The sequence below is a fragment of the Homo sapiens genome, chromosome 15 (genome assembly GCF_000001405.40).
Source record: "Homo sapiens chromosome 15, GRCh38.p14 Primary Assembly".
NCBI classification, from domain to species: Eukaryota; Metazoa; Chordata; class Mammalia; order Primates; family Hominidae; genus Homo; species Homo sapiens.
The window spans coordinates 26566492-26579681 of NC_000015.10; the positions used below are offsets into that span (position 1 = coordinate 26566492).

The following is a 13190-nucleotide window of genomic DNA, read 5'->3' on the forward strand; positions in this document are numbered from 1 at the left end:
GAGGTGGGCAGATCGCTTGAGGCCAAGAGTTCAAGACCAGTCTGGGACACATGGCGAAACCCCATCTCTACAAAAAATTAAAAAATTAGCCAAGTGTGGTGGTGTGTGCCTGTTGTCCCCACTGTCCAGGAGGTAGAGTTGAGAGGATCACTTGAGTTCAGGAGGTTGAGGCTGCAGTGAGCCGTAATCGCAATTATGCCACTGCACTCCAGCTTGGGTGACAGAGTGAGACTCTGTCTCAAAAAAAAAGAACAGGAAAGAAGGGATAACTGGAACCCTGAATTCTTATGTTTTTTTGTAAGGTACTTTGCCAGATAATGTGTTGATAATTCTTTTCCATCAATTTTTATAAGTACTACTGATACGTTCACTTTCAGGAAATAAATTCAACCCTATCCAAAGGGATGGATTGCAGATTGCATCAGCTCTGTACTTACATAAACGTATTTAAATAATTATTTTTTCTATGCAGTTTCATATTAATCAGCTGAATAGAGAATAATGTTTCTGAAAATATAAGCCTTCCCTTAATAATCAAAATGCTAAAAATAATATTGGAACCTATAATACATATTGTACATCAGCTAATAATCCAGCTGTCAAATAACCAATGGTCAGGAAAGATCACTAGAGCCTTTGGCAATCATTCAGAATTGAATTCCATATTTTAATGCTCATTAAATTGTGTAATTCCAATTCTATGCTGTAATATTTGACTATTTTTCTGACTTAAAAAAGAAGAATGCACAATTAATCAAGTCTTCTTTCTGGGCCATGGAATAATTTTGAACAGGAGATGTTAAACCTTGCTTTAAAATTAGTGTCAAAAATAGTTTTATCATGCAAATATTCTGCAAGCATATTTTCCCTTTCATGGGCATGAAAATTCACATTTGAGCCTTGTAATTAAATTAACACATCAAGGGAATCGTGCGTGAAATTAGTGTTTCAAGATAAAAAGTGACTATACAGGCAATGCTTGTGTCACGCTGTCAAAAAATGGTAGTTGAACTACAGCCTTTGAACTCTCTTAATACTGTAATGATACGGTTACTTTACATTTAAATATCACTTAAAAATAGCACATACCGAGGGCAACTCTAGCAGCAGATGCATCATAATTGATCCAGAAGGACACCCACGACAGAATCGTTATCAGTATAGAGGGCATATAAGTCTGAAGAATGAAGTATCCAATGTTCCTCTTCAACCGAAAGCTCAGTGACAGTCGAGGATAGGCACCTATGGGAAACAGACAAGGATATTACACTGGAGAAACAACATGGCAGACTAAAGAGTTTGCTTTGACTTCCATAGGTCAACAACAGGCAATGGAAAAGTCTGCGAATAAAGGGGTGACCCACCACCAAGCAGTTTGCTTCTGTCTGCTAGCGGTATTTATAGAAGAATTAGGAGGGGGGTGCTTTTCGGTCTATTTATAAGATAGTGATGAGGATGCTCTTCTAAGGCTAAACGCTCGGTTGAGAACTTGGAAAAACGTATTAGTTTTTAGCTTAGAATCCAGAATAATGCCAAATACCTTGTTTATTCTTTAATGAATGATTATCCCCTTCTTCCTTGTAGACAGCGGAGATGTGGCTCAAGGCTTTACTGGGCAAGAAAGGCTTTTACCAGTTGTCCTTTCAGCCCACCTGGAGTTCAGCCCTGAATACAGATGTTAGAGGCATTGCCCCTAGAGTGACTGGGCTAGCTCAGGGGCACCCTAAGAATGAGAGAGGCAGAGAAGCAAGTCCAGTCCCGGAGAAAGCAGTGGTGCACACTGAGGGCTTCTGCTTCGGCCACAGAAGAGGCATTAACGAGAGTCTCAAAGGAGCACCTGTCTGCCTTCTTGCCCATGAGTCCCAGTGTTAATTCTCGGATGTGAACATTCCACTCAACACATTTTGGAATCCTACCACCACCACCATGACAGAGTGAGAAAATATGCCATTTATCATGCCACATTCAGCGCTATATTTGCCTTTTCTGTCTTATTTTGTTTTCCTTTCTTTTTTTTTTTTTTTGAGATGGAGTCTCGCTCTGTCACCCAGGCTGGAGGGCAGTGGCACGATCTTGGCTCACTGCAACCTCCACCTCCCTGGTTCAGGCGATTCTCTTGCCTCAGCCTCCCGAGTAGGTGGGACTACAGGTGCCTGCCACCATGCCCAGCTAGGTTTTTTTTTTTTTTTTTGGTTTTGTATGTTTAGTAGAGACAGGGTTTCACCATATTGGCCAGACTGGTCTTGAACTCCCGACTTTGTGATCCACCCACCTCGGCCTCCCAAAGTGCTGGGATTACAGGCATGAGCCACTGAGCCCGGCCTATTTTGCTTTTCTTAGAGCAAGGCAAGTGTGGCCTTGTTTCCCCGTTTGTTTCAATAGGCCACTTTCTCAGTTCCAATCCTACCACTCCTTGTTTTCTGGATTCTGATGGAGCTGCCTGAGGGCCAGCCAGTGAGAACCCAATGACCCTCTCTAATCAGCTCCTCTGATTGCTCCCCCACACTAGCAGGTGCCTTCTTTCTGAAGCTGCCCACACCCTAAACTCCAAGAGGCCTCACCTTTCCTGATCTCCTCCTACTCCAAGCCTGGCAGGCTCCTATTCTCCTCCTGCCCCTAAATATATGCATTCTACAGGCTTTATTCCATGTCCCTTTCTGTGTCTGTCCCTAGATTCTTCTCTTTGGCAGTCTGATTCACTCGTATGACTACTACCATTATGCAGGAGATGAACGATTTTATGTCTAGGCCTCCTACCTTAGCATCAACCACATTTGCAGCCAGGATTATATAAAAGAGAAAAGAAATCACCAAACATACCCAGCACTTCAAGGCTGACAGTCTCAGAAATTTCCTCCAGTCTTTGTGTGTGTCTGTGTAGAATTTCTCTTACACAGCTCTGATCAAATGCATATATCACATGTCATCATAGCATAATAATTTTTAGAGTGGCTACAAATTATTTGTAAACACAATTTTCGATTCTTCCTAATGATCCATCAAATATCACCACAAGGACTCTATAAATACAGATTCCTGAATGCTGTAGATTTAGGTGTTTTCAATTTTTATAAAACTATAAATAGTACTCTTAAGGATATATTTGTGCAGAGCCGGTTTTCCATATTTAGACTTACTTCTTGAGGATGAATATGCCAAAGGAGGGATTGCTAGGCCAAAGGTTAAAGCTTTTGATAAATATTGTCAAATTACTTTGCAAATGTATGAAACCAATGTATGCCGCTGCCACTATCAGCAGATTAATAAAAGTGCCTAGCACACCTTGCAAATATGACATTATACATTATCTCTTATAAATAGTTTTTGCTAAATCCCTTGGGAAAACCTTGTCCTTTCAATTACTTTTTTAAAAATTGAATACTTCCTAAATGTTTGTTTGTTCTCTATATTTAATCTTGTAAGTTATCTGATTACTCATTTATTTTTCTCATTTCTGTTTCCTCTGATGGTTTTTACCTTTTCATTGAAACACTTTATATGCTAATCCTCGCTTGTATTCTCTGCAAGCATTCTCCCAGTTGCTGTTGTAAACCTTGTAATGGCTTTGAGTGGAGGACACACAGATCCCTAACTTTTTGTATGCAATTACTTCTATCCATTTCACTTTTTCCCTTGTGATTGTTAAAACTTGTGTTTAGCCTTAGGTAAGTTCACAATACAGATCTACCTGCAAACCTATTTTGAGGGTTGGCAATTATTTCAGAGTTTGACATGAGGTGAAAACATATGTGGATTTTGGTTCCACAAACAGCAAACCGGTTTCTCCAACACCATCAGTAGAATGAGGCTTCCCTTCATATACATTTCACACAGTTCTGTTGTTTTTAGACTCCGTTTCTTGTAAATGTGGATCATGGGCCTGCGCACCATGCACGGGGGCCAGACCCTCCTCGCGGGCCTCGCCCTCCTGGCTCTGGGCCTTGCGCGACTTGGGCACATTTGGGAAACATGGAAATGATGCTCACTGTCATGCCACAGTCAAAATCTTCTACGGCTCATTGCTTCCCACAAACATCAAAACACGCATCCAGGAATTTCAGTTTCTCCATCTTTTCCCAAATTAACTTCAGTTTTATTTTCCACCATGTTTCTGCATTAAGTATAACATTTTTTAGTCAAAGAGGTTCTCACTGCCTCAAAATATTCATCTCTATTTCCTGCCTCTGCTGACTCACATCCCAGTTTTGAAGATGCGTCTTTCCTTATCTATACCTCAAGGTCTTGGTCAAAGCCCCATCTTCCATGAATCCTTTCTTTTTCCTCCTTCCAAATGTAAGTAATCACCCTCTTGAATTTTTTTTCTCATTCATATTATTATAATTATAAATATTTACAAAGGTAAGATCTTCCTTAATAAGCTGTACAGTCCCCAGGGCAGAATTTGTGAGGTAATTTTTTTTATATACTACAATGCCTAGGTAAATGTCAAAACCATCATAGGTTATGAATAAATACTTCTGAAGGCTGAATGAATGAAAATAGGAGTATTTAGTTTCTTTATATGACTCTTTAGTTGAGCTTAATACACAAAAGGCTCAACATCCTTATTGAATTGTAGCTTGAAATCCCATGGTAACTTCAATATCTTTACTGAAGTAACTTCAATATTGGCTCTTAATCTGCAATTTCATGGCAACCTCAGACCTTTCTTATCACTTATTTGCTTCTCTTTGCTTCAGGTAAATCTTACTATAATCCACCATACATGGAACAGTCTGCATCAGTCAGGACATGTTGGCTTATGCTACAGTAACAAACAGCCCCCAAATCTCAGTAGTTTGTAACAAAAATTTTTCCTATAAAAAATATATCCACTTAGCTCCCTCTGTCTGCAACACTGTTGGCCTCTGGTAGAAGAGCTATACATACTTCCCATCATGTTTCTGTGGCCAGAGCAAGTCTCATTGCCAACTTTTATGTCAGGAGAACGGGAATGTTTAATCGTCTCCCAGAGAAGAGCAGCAAATATTTTTGAATGATAATGTAATTTACTATATCCTCCAACTTTCCATTTGCCAAGTCAACTTTCTTAAACATTTTCCAAAGTACATCTTCAGGGAAACTGTGGGCAGTAGAAACCACTATTGACTGCCATGACTGTACAGTCAAACAAACACTTGGACGATCATTAGGGACCTTGAAGAAGAGAATACGAAACTGATTTCAAAAACACATTACTCTCTGGAAATTCGCCAAGATACTCATTGACACAGAATTTGGAAGTAAGAAAATATACCATTTTCTTTTGCATTTGTTTAGCAAATACATTCTATTTGTTAAAAGTAGAATGCCTTTGGGAAGTCAAGGCAGGTGAATCGCGAGGTCAAGAGATCGAGACCATCCTGGCCAACATGGTGAAACCCCATCTCTACTAAAAATACAAAAATTAGCCAGGCGTGGTGGCGGGTGCCTATAATCCCAGCACTCAAGAGGCTGAGGCAGGAGATCGTTTGAACCTGGGAGGCGGAGGTTGCAGTGAGCCGAAATTGAGCTACTGCACTCCAGCCTGGCGACAGAGCGAGACTCCGTCTCAAGAAAAAAAAAAAAAAAAAAAAAGGAAAATGCCATTTCCAATCAGCAAAATGTTCCGGTATCCGGCGCATGCCCCACACATCCTAGTCTCTGAGGTGGAAACAGTAAGTGGGGCAAACAACGAAGGTGAATAAAAGCACAGTTTACCTTCCCAACTATTTATAGCTCCTGACCCATGTCAGACAGATTCATTCAGAACTGGCCTCCATAAAGCTGTGGCGTGCACTATCCTGGAGGTATAAAAATATGCTAGGGCACACGCCTAAGTGATTTAGGAGAGGTTTCACATTGTATGCACCTCTGGTGTATGAGACATTCATGGTTGAATAGGATTCCTTCAGGCAGGGATGAAGGAGAGCTTTCAAGGTAACGGACCCAGCAGAGCCATTCAAGATGCCACGAGACAGAGACCTCGGAATGTTAGTCAACCCAAGAATTATCTGACGTAGTAGATCTATTCTGCTAGGCAAAGGCTTTTCCCATTTGATGTGCATCTTAAAGAGTACATAAAAGTATTTTTGTAGCTCCGGTAGACAAGGTCCTTACACTGGCAGGATGGAATGCCATGAAATATGCGGTATCTATGTGGAAAACTCCCAAGTGATCACAGCTAGTGGCAAATAACTTGAAGTTGAGAAGTAATGAGTCAGCTGCACTAAGACATCCCTTTTAAAATGAAACAGAAGCTTGAATTTACAACTGAAATGCGCTGAAGCCCTAATGTCTGTGTGCCAGTGCAGACGTGGTCAGGTCCCCAGGCAGATGCTGAGCCAACAGACAGAGGCACAGTCCCTGGGCACAAGTGCATTGTTCCAAGGCAGGGATTCCTTGGCAAAACTACCTAGTGAAGATGCTGATCCCGGCCCTTTCTCCCCAGATGCAGTCACCATTATGCCAAAAACACAGCTCTGGGTCTCTAATCCAGCCTGAATTTATATCATTCTCTAGGCATTAATATTTTTGAAGAACTCATTAAAAATGTGAACACAGAAGGTCATGCCAGCTTTGTAGAGTGCTAAGAGCCACTCAAATGCATCTGTGAACTAATAAGCTGGTATTTCAGCAAATGCAGCAGAGCTCACTTATCACATGCTCCTCTTCCCATTAAGCTGCCATGGTGAGGCACTCCCACTGCAGCCTGGGAAGCTTTGTGAGCTCTCACTTAGAGCCGTTCTGGGCCCATTATCATGCTATATGATTCATTTATTATCTATCTTTTACTTTATAATGCAGCCTAAAATTAAAAATAGTGTTTCTAATTTTTACTCCCATTACTAGTCATCTTATTATGTGTTGAAAAAACCCATTAAGAAAAGGAAATATAAGAAATAGAAAAGAGAGAGAAGAAAAATGGGATTGGGGTTTTAAAAAAAATTGTTTGAAATATTGTCTCAACCAGACAATGAGTCCTTTCTAATCCTCCACAGAAAAACCAGCATTGAACCATATAACAGTGCAGCAAAGAACAGGGATGTTTGTTTCAACAATCCAGCCTCTCCATTATTTGGGATACTCCTTTTTGAGAAGGTTACTATCCTCTCTTTCCTTGTGTGTAAAATCAAGGCAAGAACACCATAAGTGGCAAAACATTAAATTATACTTCATAAAAATTAAAAACAGTTATGCTCCAAAGTGTACCGTCAAGACAACCTACAGAATGGGAGAAAATATTTGCAAATCATGTATCTGATAAGGAACTTATATCCAAAATACATAAAGAATGCGGCTGGTTGGGTGGCTCATGCCTGCAATCTCAGCACTTTGGGAGGCCAGGGCGGGAGGATTGCTTGAACCCAGGAGTTCAAGACCAGCCTGGGCAAAACAGTGAGACTCCATCTTTACAAAAAAATACAAAAATTAGCTGGGCATGGTGGCACACGCCTATAGTCCTAGGTACTTAGGAGTCTGAGATGAGAGGATCTCTTGAGCCCAGGAGATTGAGGCTGCAGTGAGCCAAGATTGTGCCACTGCACTCCAGCCCGGGCGACAGACTAAGACCCTGTCTCAAAGAAAAGAATGCTTATAAAAAAGACAAATAACTGAAATTGTTTAACTGGGAAGAGGCTTTGAATAGATATTTTTCCAAAGATAGAGAAACAGCCAAAATAGCATATGAAAAGATAGTCAACATCATTTAGTCATTAGGGAAATGCATGTCAAGACCACAATGAGATACCACACCATACCCTATGGCCACAATAAAAAAGACAGAAAATAACTAGTGTTGGTGAGAATATGGAGAAATTGGAACCCTCCTATACTTCCCGTAGGAATATTATCAGGCCACCACTTTAGAAAATAGTCTGATAGTTCCTCAAAAGGATGTTACCCTATATGACCCAGGAATTCCACTCCTAAGTATATGAGTTAATTTCCTAAAAGAAATTAAAACATATATCTACACTAAAACTTATACCTGAATGTTCATAGCAGCCTTATAGCTAGTAGCCCAAAGGGAAGACAAGCCAAATGTTCATCAGCTGATGAACAGATAAAGAAAATGCAGTATATTTCTTCGGCAATAAAAAGGAATGAAGTACTGATTCATGGCACAACATGGATGAACCTTGAAAACCATGCAAGTGAAAGACCAGACACGAAAGACCACACAAATGATTCCACTGATATGAAATGTACTGAAGAGACAAATCCATAGAAGGAGAAACTAGATTAGTGGTTGTCTAGGGTTGGGAGAAATGGGAAGAGACTGCTAATGGATACAGGGCTTCTTTTTGGGGTGATAAAAATATTCTAAAATTGATTTTGGTCATGGTTGGACAACTCTGCAAATATACTAAACACCACTGAATGTGCCCTTTAAATGGGTAAATTGTATGGTATGCGAATTGTATCTCAATAGATCCATTATAAGGAAAAAAAATGTTTACTACATGTATTTTTACTGGCAATCAAATTCACATCAACTATAAGACATGCTATCTGACCCAAAGTACACTCTCAATAAATACAAGTTCCTTCTTTCTTTTCTTTTCCTCCTACTTTGGTGCTTTCTCTGTTCATGATTCTGTAATCAGAGATTTCACCATTGAGCACAGTTTTAAACTTTTGCTGGAGGTCTTAAAGGCAATTCAAAAGGATGAAGGTAGTTAAAAACTCTTTTTGCAAAAAAGATTTAAGGCAATGAATTTCTGAAGAAGTCTGTCTTCTGTAATGAGACATGTTTCATATGTCAGAAGCCCTTATAAAAAGTGATGTCACAGCAAAAAGAGAACCAGTTAAGCGCTGCCTTGGCCCTGGGAGTGAGCACGCTCTGGTCCAGCATTTTGGACTGAGAGATTAGGGATTGTAACCGGCTAGGAAGCACAGGTGAATTGTCTCTAGGGATCCCAGTAACAAAAGTCAATGGGGAGAAAAGAAATAGAAATTTTTCTCTGGAATTTAAGGTCAAATTAAATTACAAATAAAAGACAGATGGTAATTCTTCCTTTTAATGTTTCATCTATCTTTTCTATACCTCTAGTAGATAGTATTTATAGACTGAATGGGCAATAATTGGATCCTAGGCTTTAGTTAAGCAGACTAAAGCCTGGAGTTCACAAATGGACTCTTAAAGAGAAAGCTGAGTGCATGTATTTACAAACAGTGTGACAGGTGGACTTTTAAAAAAATTTATAATTTGTCATGATCATTAATAAGAAAATAAAGCAGTATTTTGAAAACTGATTTTTGAAAAAAAGAAAATTCACATATCTTAACTGAAATGTCTCATCATTATTCATTTTGCACCCTTCTCTTTTTCTTCCAATCTTAGCCAAAGTATTTTGAAATAAAGTCAGAATATATCACTGTCCAAATGTACCAAAGAAAAAAGGAAGAGAAAGACAAACAGCACAAAATTAAAGAAGCATATTAAATCATCTGTTCTCCACATATCTTGCGAAAATCTCAATCTTTCCGTTCAAAGACAACTCTAAAGTGACAAGTAAATTTCAGATTTGGCAAAAACTGTATATCCCACATTTTGCTGGTGAGCGGGACACATTTTCAAGACCAGTACAAAGCTGAAGTTTCAATCTGTTGATCAGTGTGTTCACAGTGATATTTGAGGAGCTCTTTGATTTTTAGCTGAATATGTTTGTTGAAATAAATTTAATTCAGTATTTCTTTTAACCTGATCCCGTAATCTGTCTGTTATGCAAGCGCTTTGCTCACGTTTTCACAGCTTGTAACTGTTACAGCCAACGGCTCAAATATCCTGACTGAGCTTTATAGTGCTTTCTTCAACAACAGAGTATTCTGGATAAATGTTTCCTCTTTATAATGTTTTCAGAAAAATACAGAATTTCCTGAAATGAAATTTTAAAAAAGGTTTCCTAAATTTTCTTCTTTTTTACGCTCATGTATTAGTAGTGCAAATTAAATAAGAATTACATATCAAAACAACTGGAAACTTTTCTGAGAAATATAAAGAGGAGTGAAAAATAAAACATGGGTTTGGGTATTATAGAATCTACTGAAACCGACTGGAAAAAATGGACAGAATTTAAATAAATCTGCTTGAGGATTTATTTAAATCTGGAGAGATTTTAATGGAGAGATAAAAAGCCAGTAAGAAATCTGTATCAAGATGTGAGAGAGAAAGAAAAAAGAGAGAAGAGCTCCATGTTTCAGATACCTGCAGTTTTCATAAGGGAAAGATGAGAAGCTAATTAGAACATCCAAGACTCAGGGGACTAAGGGGGCAGGCACTGGACATAGAGGCCATCAAGAAGGGGGCCACAATAAACCTCCTACAGCTTGGGTTGGTTATACTTACACGGAAAGTTTTGCTCAAGATGTACAGATAAACCAGACGGACTTATGCGTGTTCAAAGACTGAGCCTGAACTCAGAATTACTCATACCCTAGAAAGTAGATGAAGCTTATCCTAGATTGCTAATGCCTCCAGCTGTCTAGTAGAAGCAAGCATAGATCCTCTCTAAAAGATACACCAAAAGAGCATTTCCAGCATGAAGCTTGAGAAGAAAATGAAATGCAACATACAGAAAGAAATGAGCAAGATAGACAGGATATGATGACAAGATCGGGTACGTGTGTAATTGGGGTTCTAGAAGAAGAGAGAATGGGGCAGAGGCAGCCCTTAAGGAGATGATGGCCAGTGATGCTCCAAACCCTCAGACACACATCCAACCAGAGATTCAAGAAGGTCCATAAACTCCAAGAAGGGCCAGGTGCAGTGACTCACAACTGCAATCCCAGCACTTTGGCAGGCTGAGGCAGGCAGATCACTTGAGGTCAGGAGTTCGAGACCAGCCTGGCCAACACAGCGAAACCCCGTCTCTACTAAAAATACAAAATTTAGCCAGGCATGGTGGCATGTGCTTGCAATTCCAGCTACTAGGGAGGCTGAGGCAGGAGAATCGCTTGAACCCAGGAGGCAGAGGTTGCTGTGAGAGGAAATCGTGCCACTGCACTCCAGCCTGGGTGATGGAGTGAGACTTTGTCTGAAAAAAACAAACAAAACAAACAAAAAACTCCAAGAAGAATAATCACAGAGAAAGCTGCAACTTGGTACATCATAGTTTTGGAAAACCAAAAACAAACAGAAAAATCACAAAGTCATCTGCAGGGGGAGAAAAACAAGTTACAGTCGTGCCCCTCGTAACGACCTGTAGGTCAATGGACAGGGTCCCATAAGATTATAGGGGAGCTGAAAAATTCCTACCGCCTGGTGACATCATAGTCTGGTCCTAATAAACTTCCAGAGTGTTTGTTCTTTTCTAGCTCCCCCCAACACCCTTTTTCTGGGGAGACAGCATCTTGCAGGCTGGACTGCAGTGGTACAATCATAGCTCACTGCAGCCTCAAACTCCTGGGTTCAAGCGATCCTCCCACTTCAGCCTCCTGAATAGCTGGGACCACAGATGCTGCCACCGTGGCCTGACTAAATCTTTTATTTTTTATAGTGATGAGGTCTCACTGTGTTTCACAGGCTGGGCAGGAACCCCTGGCCTCAACTGACCCTCTTGCCTTGATCTCCCGAAGCGTTGGGATTACAGGTGTGAACCACTGTGCCCAGCCTCTAATCCCCTTTTTCGGGAATACTCTCTCAGGCTAGAAAGTCCTTCAATCTTGTTTACTAGTCACATTCTTATTAATTCAGAATACTTGTGGAAAGGAAAATAAATTAGGATAACATTTAATATTAAAATATCTTTAGAACACTGCAACTTATGCCATTTCTTCATGCACAGGTGAATTAGAATAACTTTAAAGTGCAAGCTTTTGAAAGTTGGGAGATTTTGTAACTGACTGATGTGGAGCTCTTGCGCTACACCCAATAAATGCAGGACTCAGTATGTGCTGGAAGGAAGACATGATACTGCATTCTGGTAGCCCCATGGGTCTGTGAATAGTTTAAGTGTTCTGCCACATACCTGTAGTGCCTATTTTCTCCAGACATTTTTAGGATGTGTTCTACCACATACAGACTGAAAAGAAAGATGGGGATTGCACCTGGAGGAAGGTGGTTCTAAGTGCTTTCAAGTTAGTGGATTCAGGAAGTCATTCTAAGTGGCTGTGGTCCCCCACGGAAGCAGCATACCCTCTACAAACACCTCACCTGGCTTTCTAATGAGGCTGCATGAAAATGCAGTAAGAAATCCTCATAGCAGCACGCTCATGGCCATTTCTGCAACTTTCTAGGCAAAGGCTGCATGGGCAGGATTACTCCACAGTGAGTGTGCTAGCCTCTGTTCTGAGCAGACCTTTAGCTCCTACCACTCAGGGCATGGAACACTTTGAAACCCAGTTTTAGAAGTAACATATCATTTTTTTCAATGCCTCACAGGCCAACGTTCTTGGTTGTGGACACTATTTCTTAATGATAAGCCCAAGTTCCTGCTGGCTCTCATTTCTCCCTGAGGTAAACCTCTCAGTGCGTCTTCTCCGGAGAATGCAGGGACATCTGCAAGACCTCTTGAGGTGGAGGATAAAGTGGCACTGCATAGAAAAAGGATCTGATTGGTGTCTTAAAAATTCAGGCTTTTCCATCTACTTATCATGTACTTTGGCTCTTAGGGGCTGGGGTGGAGAGGAGGGAACGTTGCTGGTGACCTTGACTGATCAATTACTTACTCAGTGACAACTGCCACACACCCAGGACACATTGGGCATTACTCAAGATGGGGGTGGGGAGAGGATGAACCACGCATGACTGACGCAGGTCCCTCCTCAGGGAGGTGTGCCCTTGCAGATGCAGGCACCGTGAGCTGTGAGCAGAGCTGGAAGGTGGTCAGTACTGCCCTGTGGAGATGCACCCCAGCCACTTAATCCAGCCTGGGGGGCTGTGCCGGGTCAAGCAGGTTGAAAAGGCTTCCCAGAGGAAGTAGCGCCAGATGAAGCCTAAGAATGAGTCGGAGCTAGCCACATGAAGGCGAAGCTGGTGGCCATGGGTCAGGAGCATTCAACCAACCCATTCACTGGCTTCATGGTTGTCATCACAGGACTGGGGTCAATTTTTATGCACTCTTTGTTCAAGCTACATGAACAGCTCTGCCTTCTCTTAGCATTTTCAACCAAGAGTTGGTGATCTCTGAAATGCTTTACATTTTACAAAGCACTTTCATTTATTATACCAATTACAATGCACAGCATTCAGTAAGCACAGTCAGCAC

The 13190-nt window shown here is 40.8% G+C and overlaps 1 protein-coding gene across 6 annotated transcripts in view; it reads right to left on the reverse strand.

Moving 5' to 3' along the window:
• The window catches only part of GABRB3 (gamma-aminobutyric acid type A receptor subunit beta3), a 230212-nt gene that overhangs the window by 22940 nt on the left and 194082 nt on the right, over positions 1 to 13190 (reverse strand). For all 6 annotated transcript variants that reach the window (NM_021912.5, NM_000814.6, NM_001278631.2 and 3 more), the window contains one exon: positions 1090 to 1242. In NM_021912.5, coding sequence (NP_068712.1) covers positions 1090 to 1242 — 153 coding nt within the window. The remainder of the gene's footprint in view (positions 1 to 1089; positions 1243 to 13190) is intronic.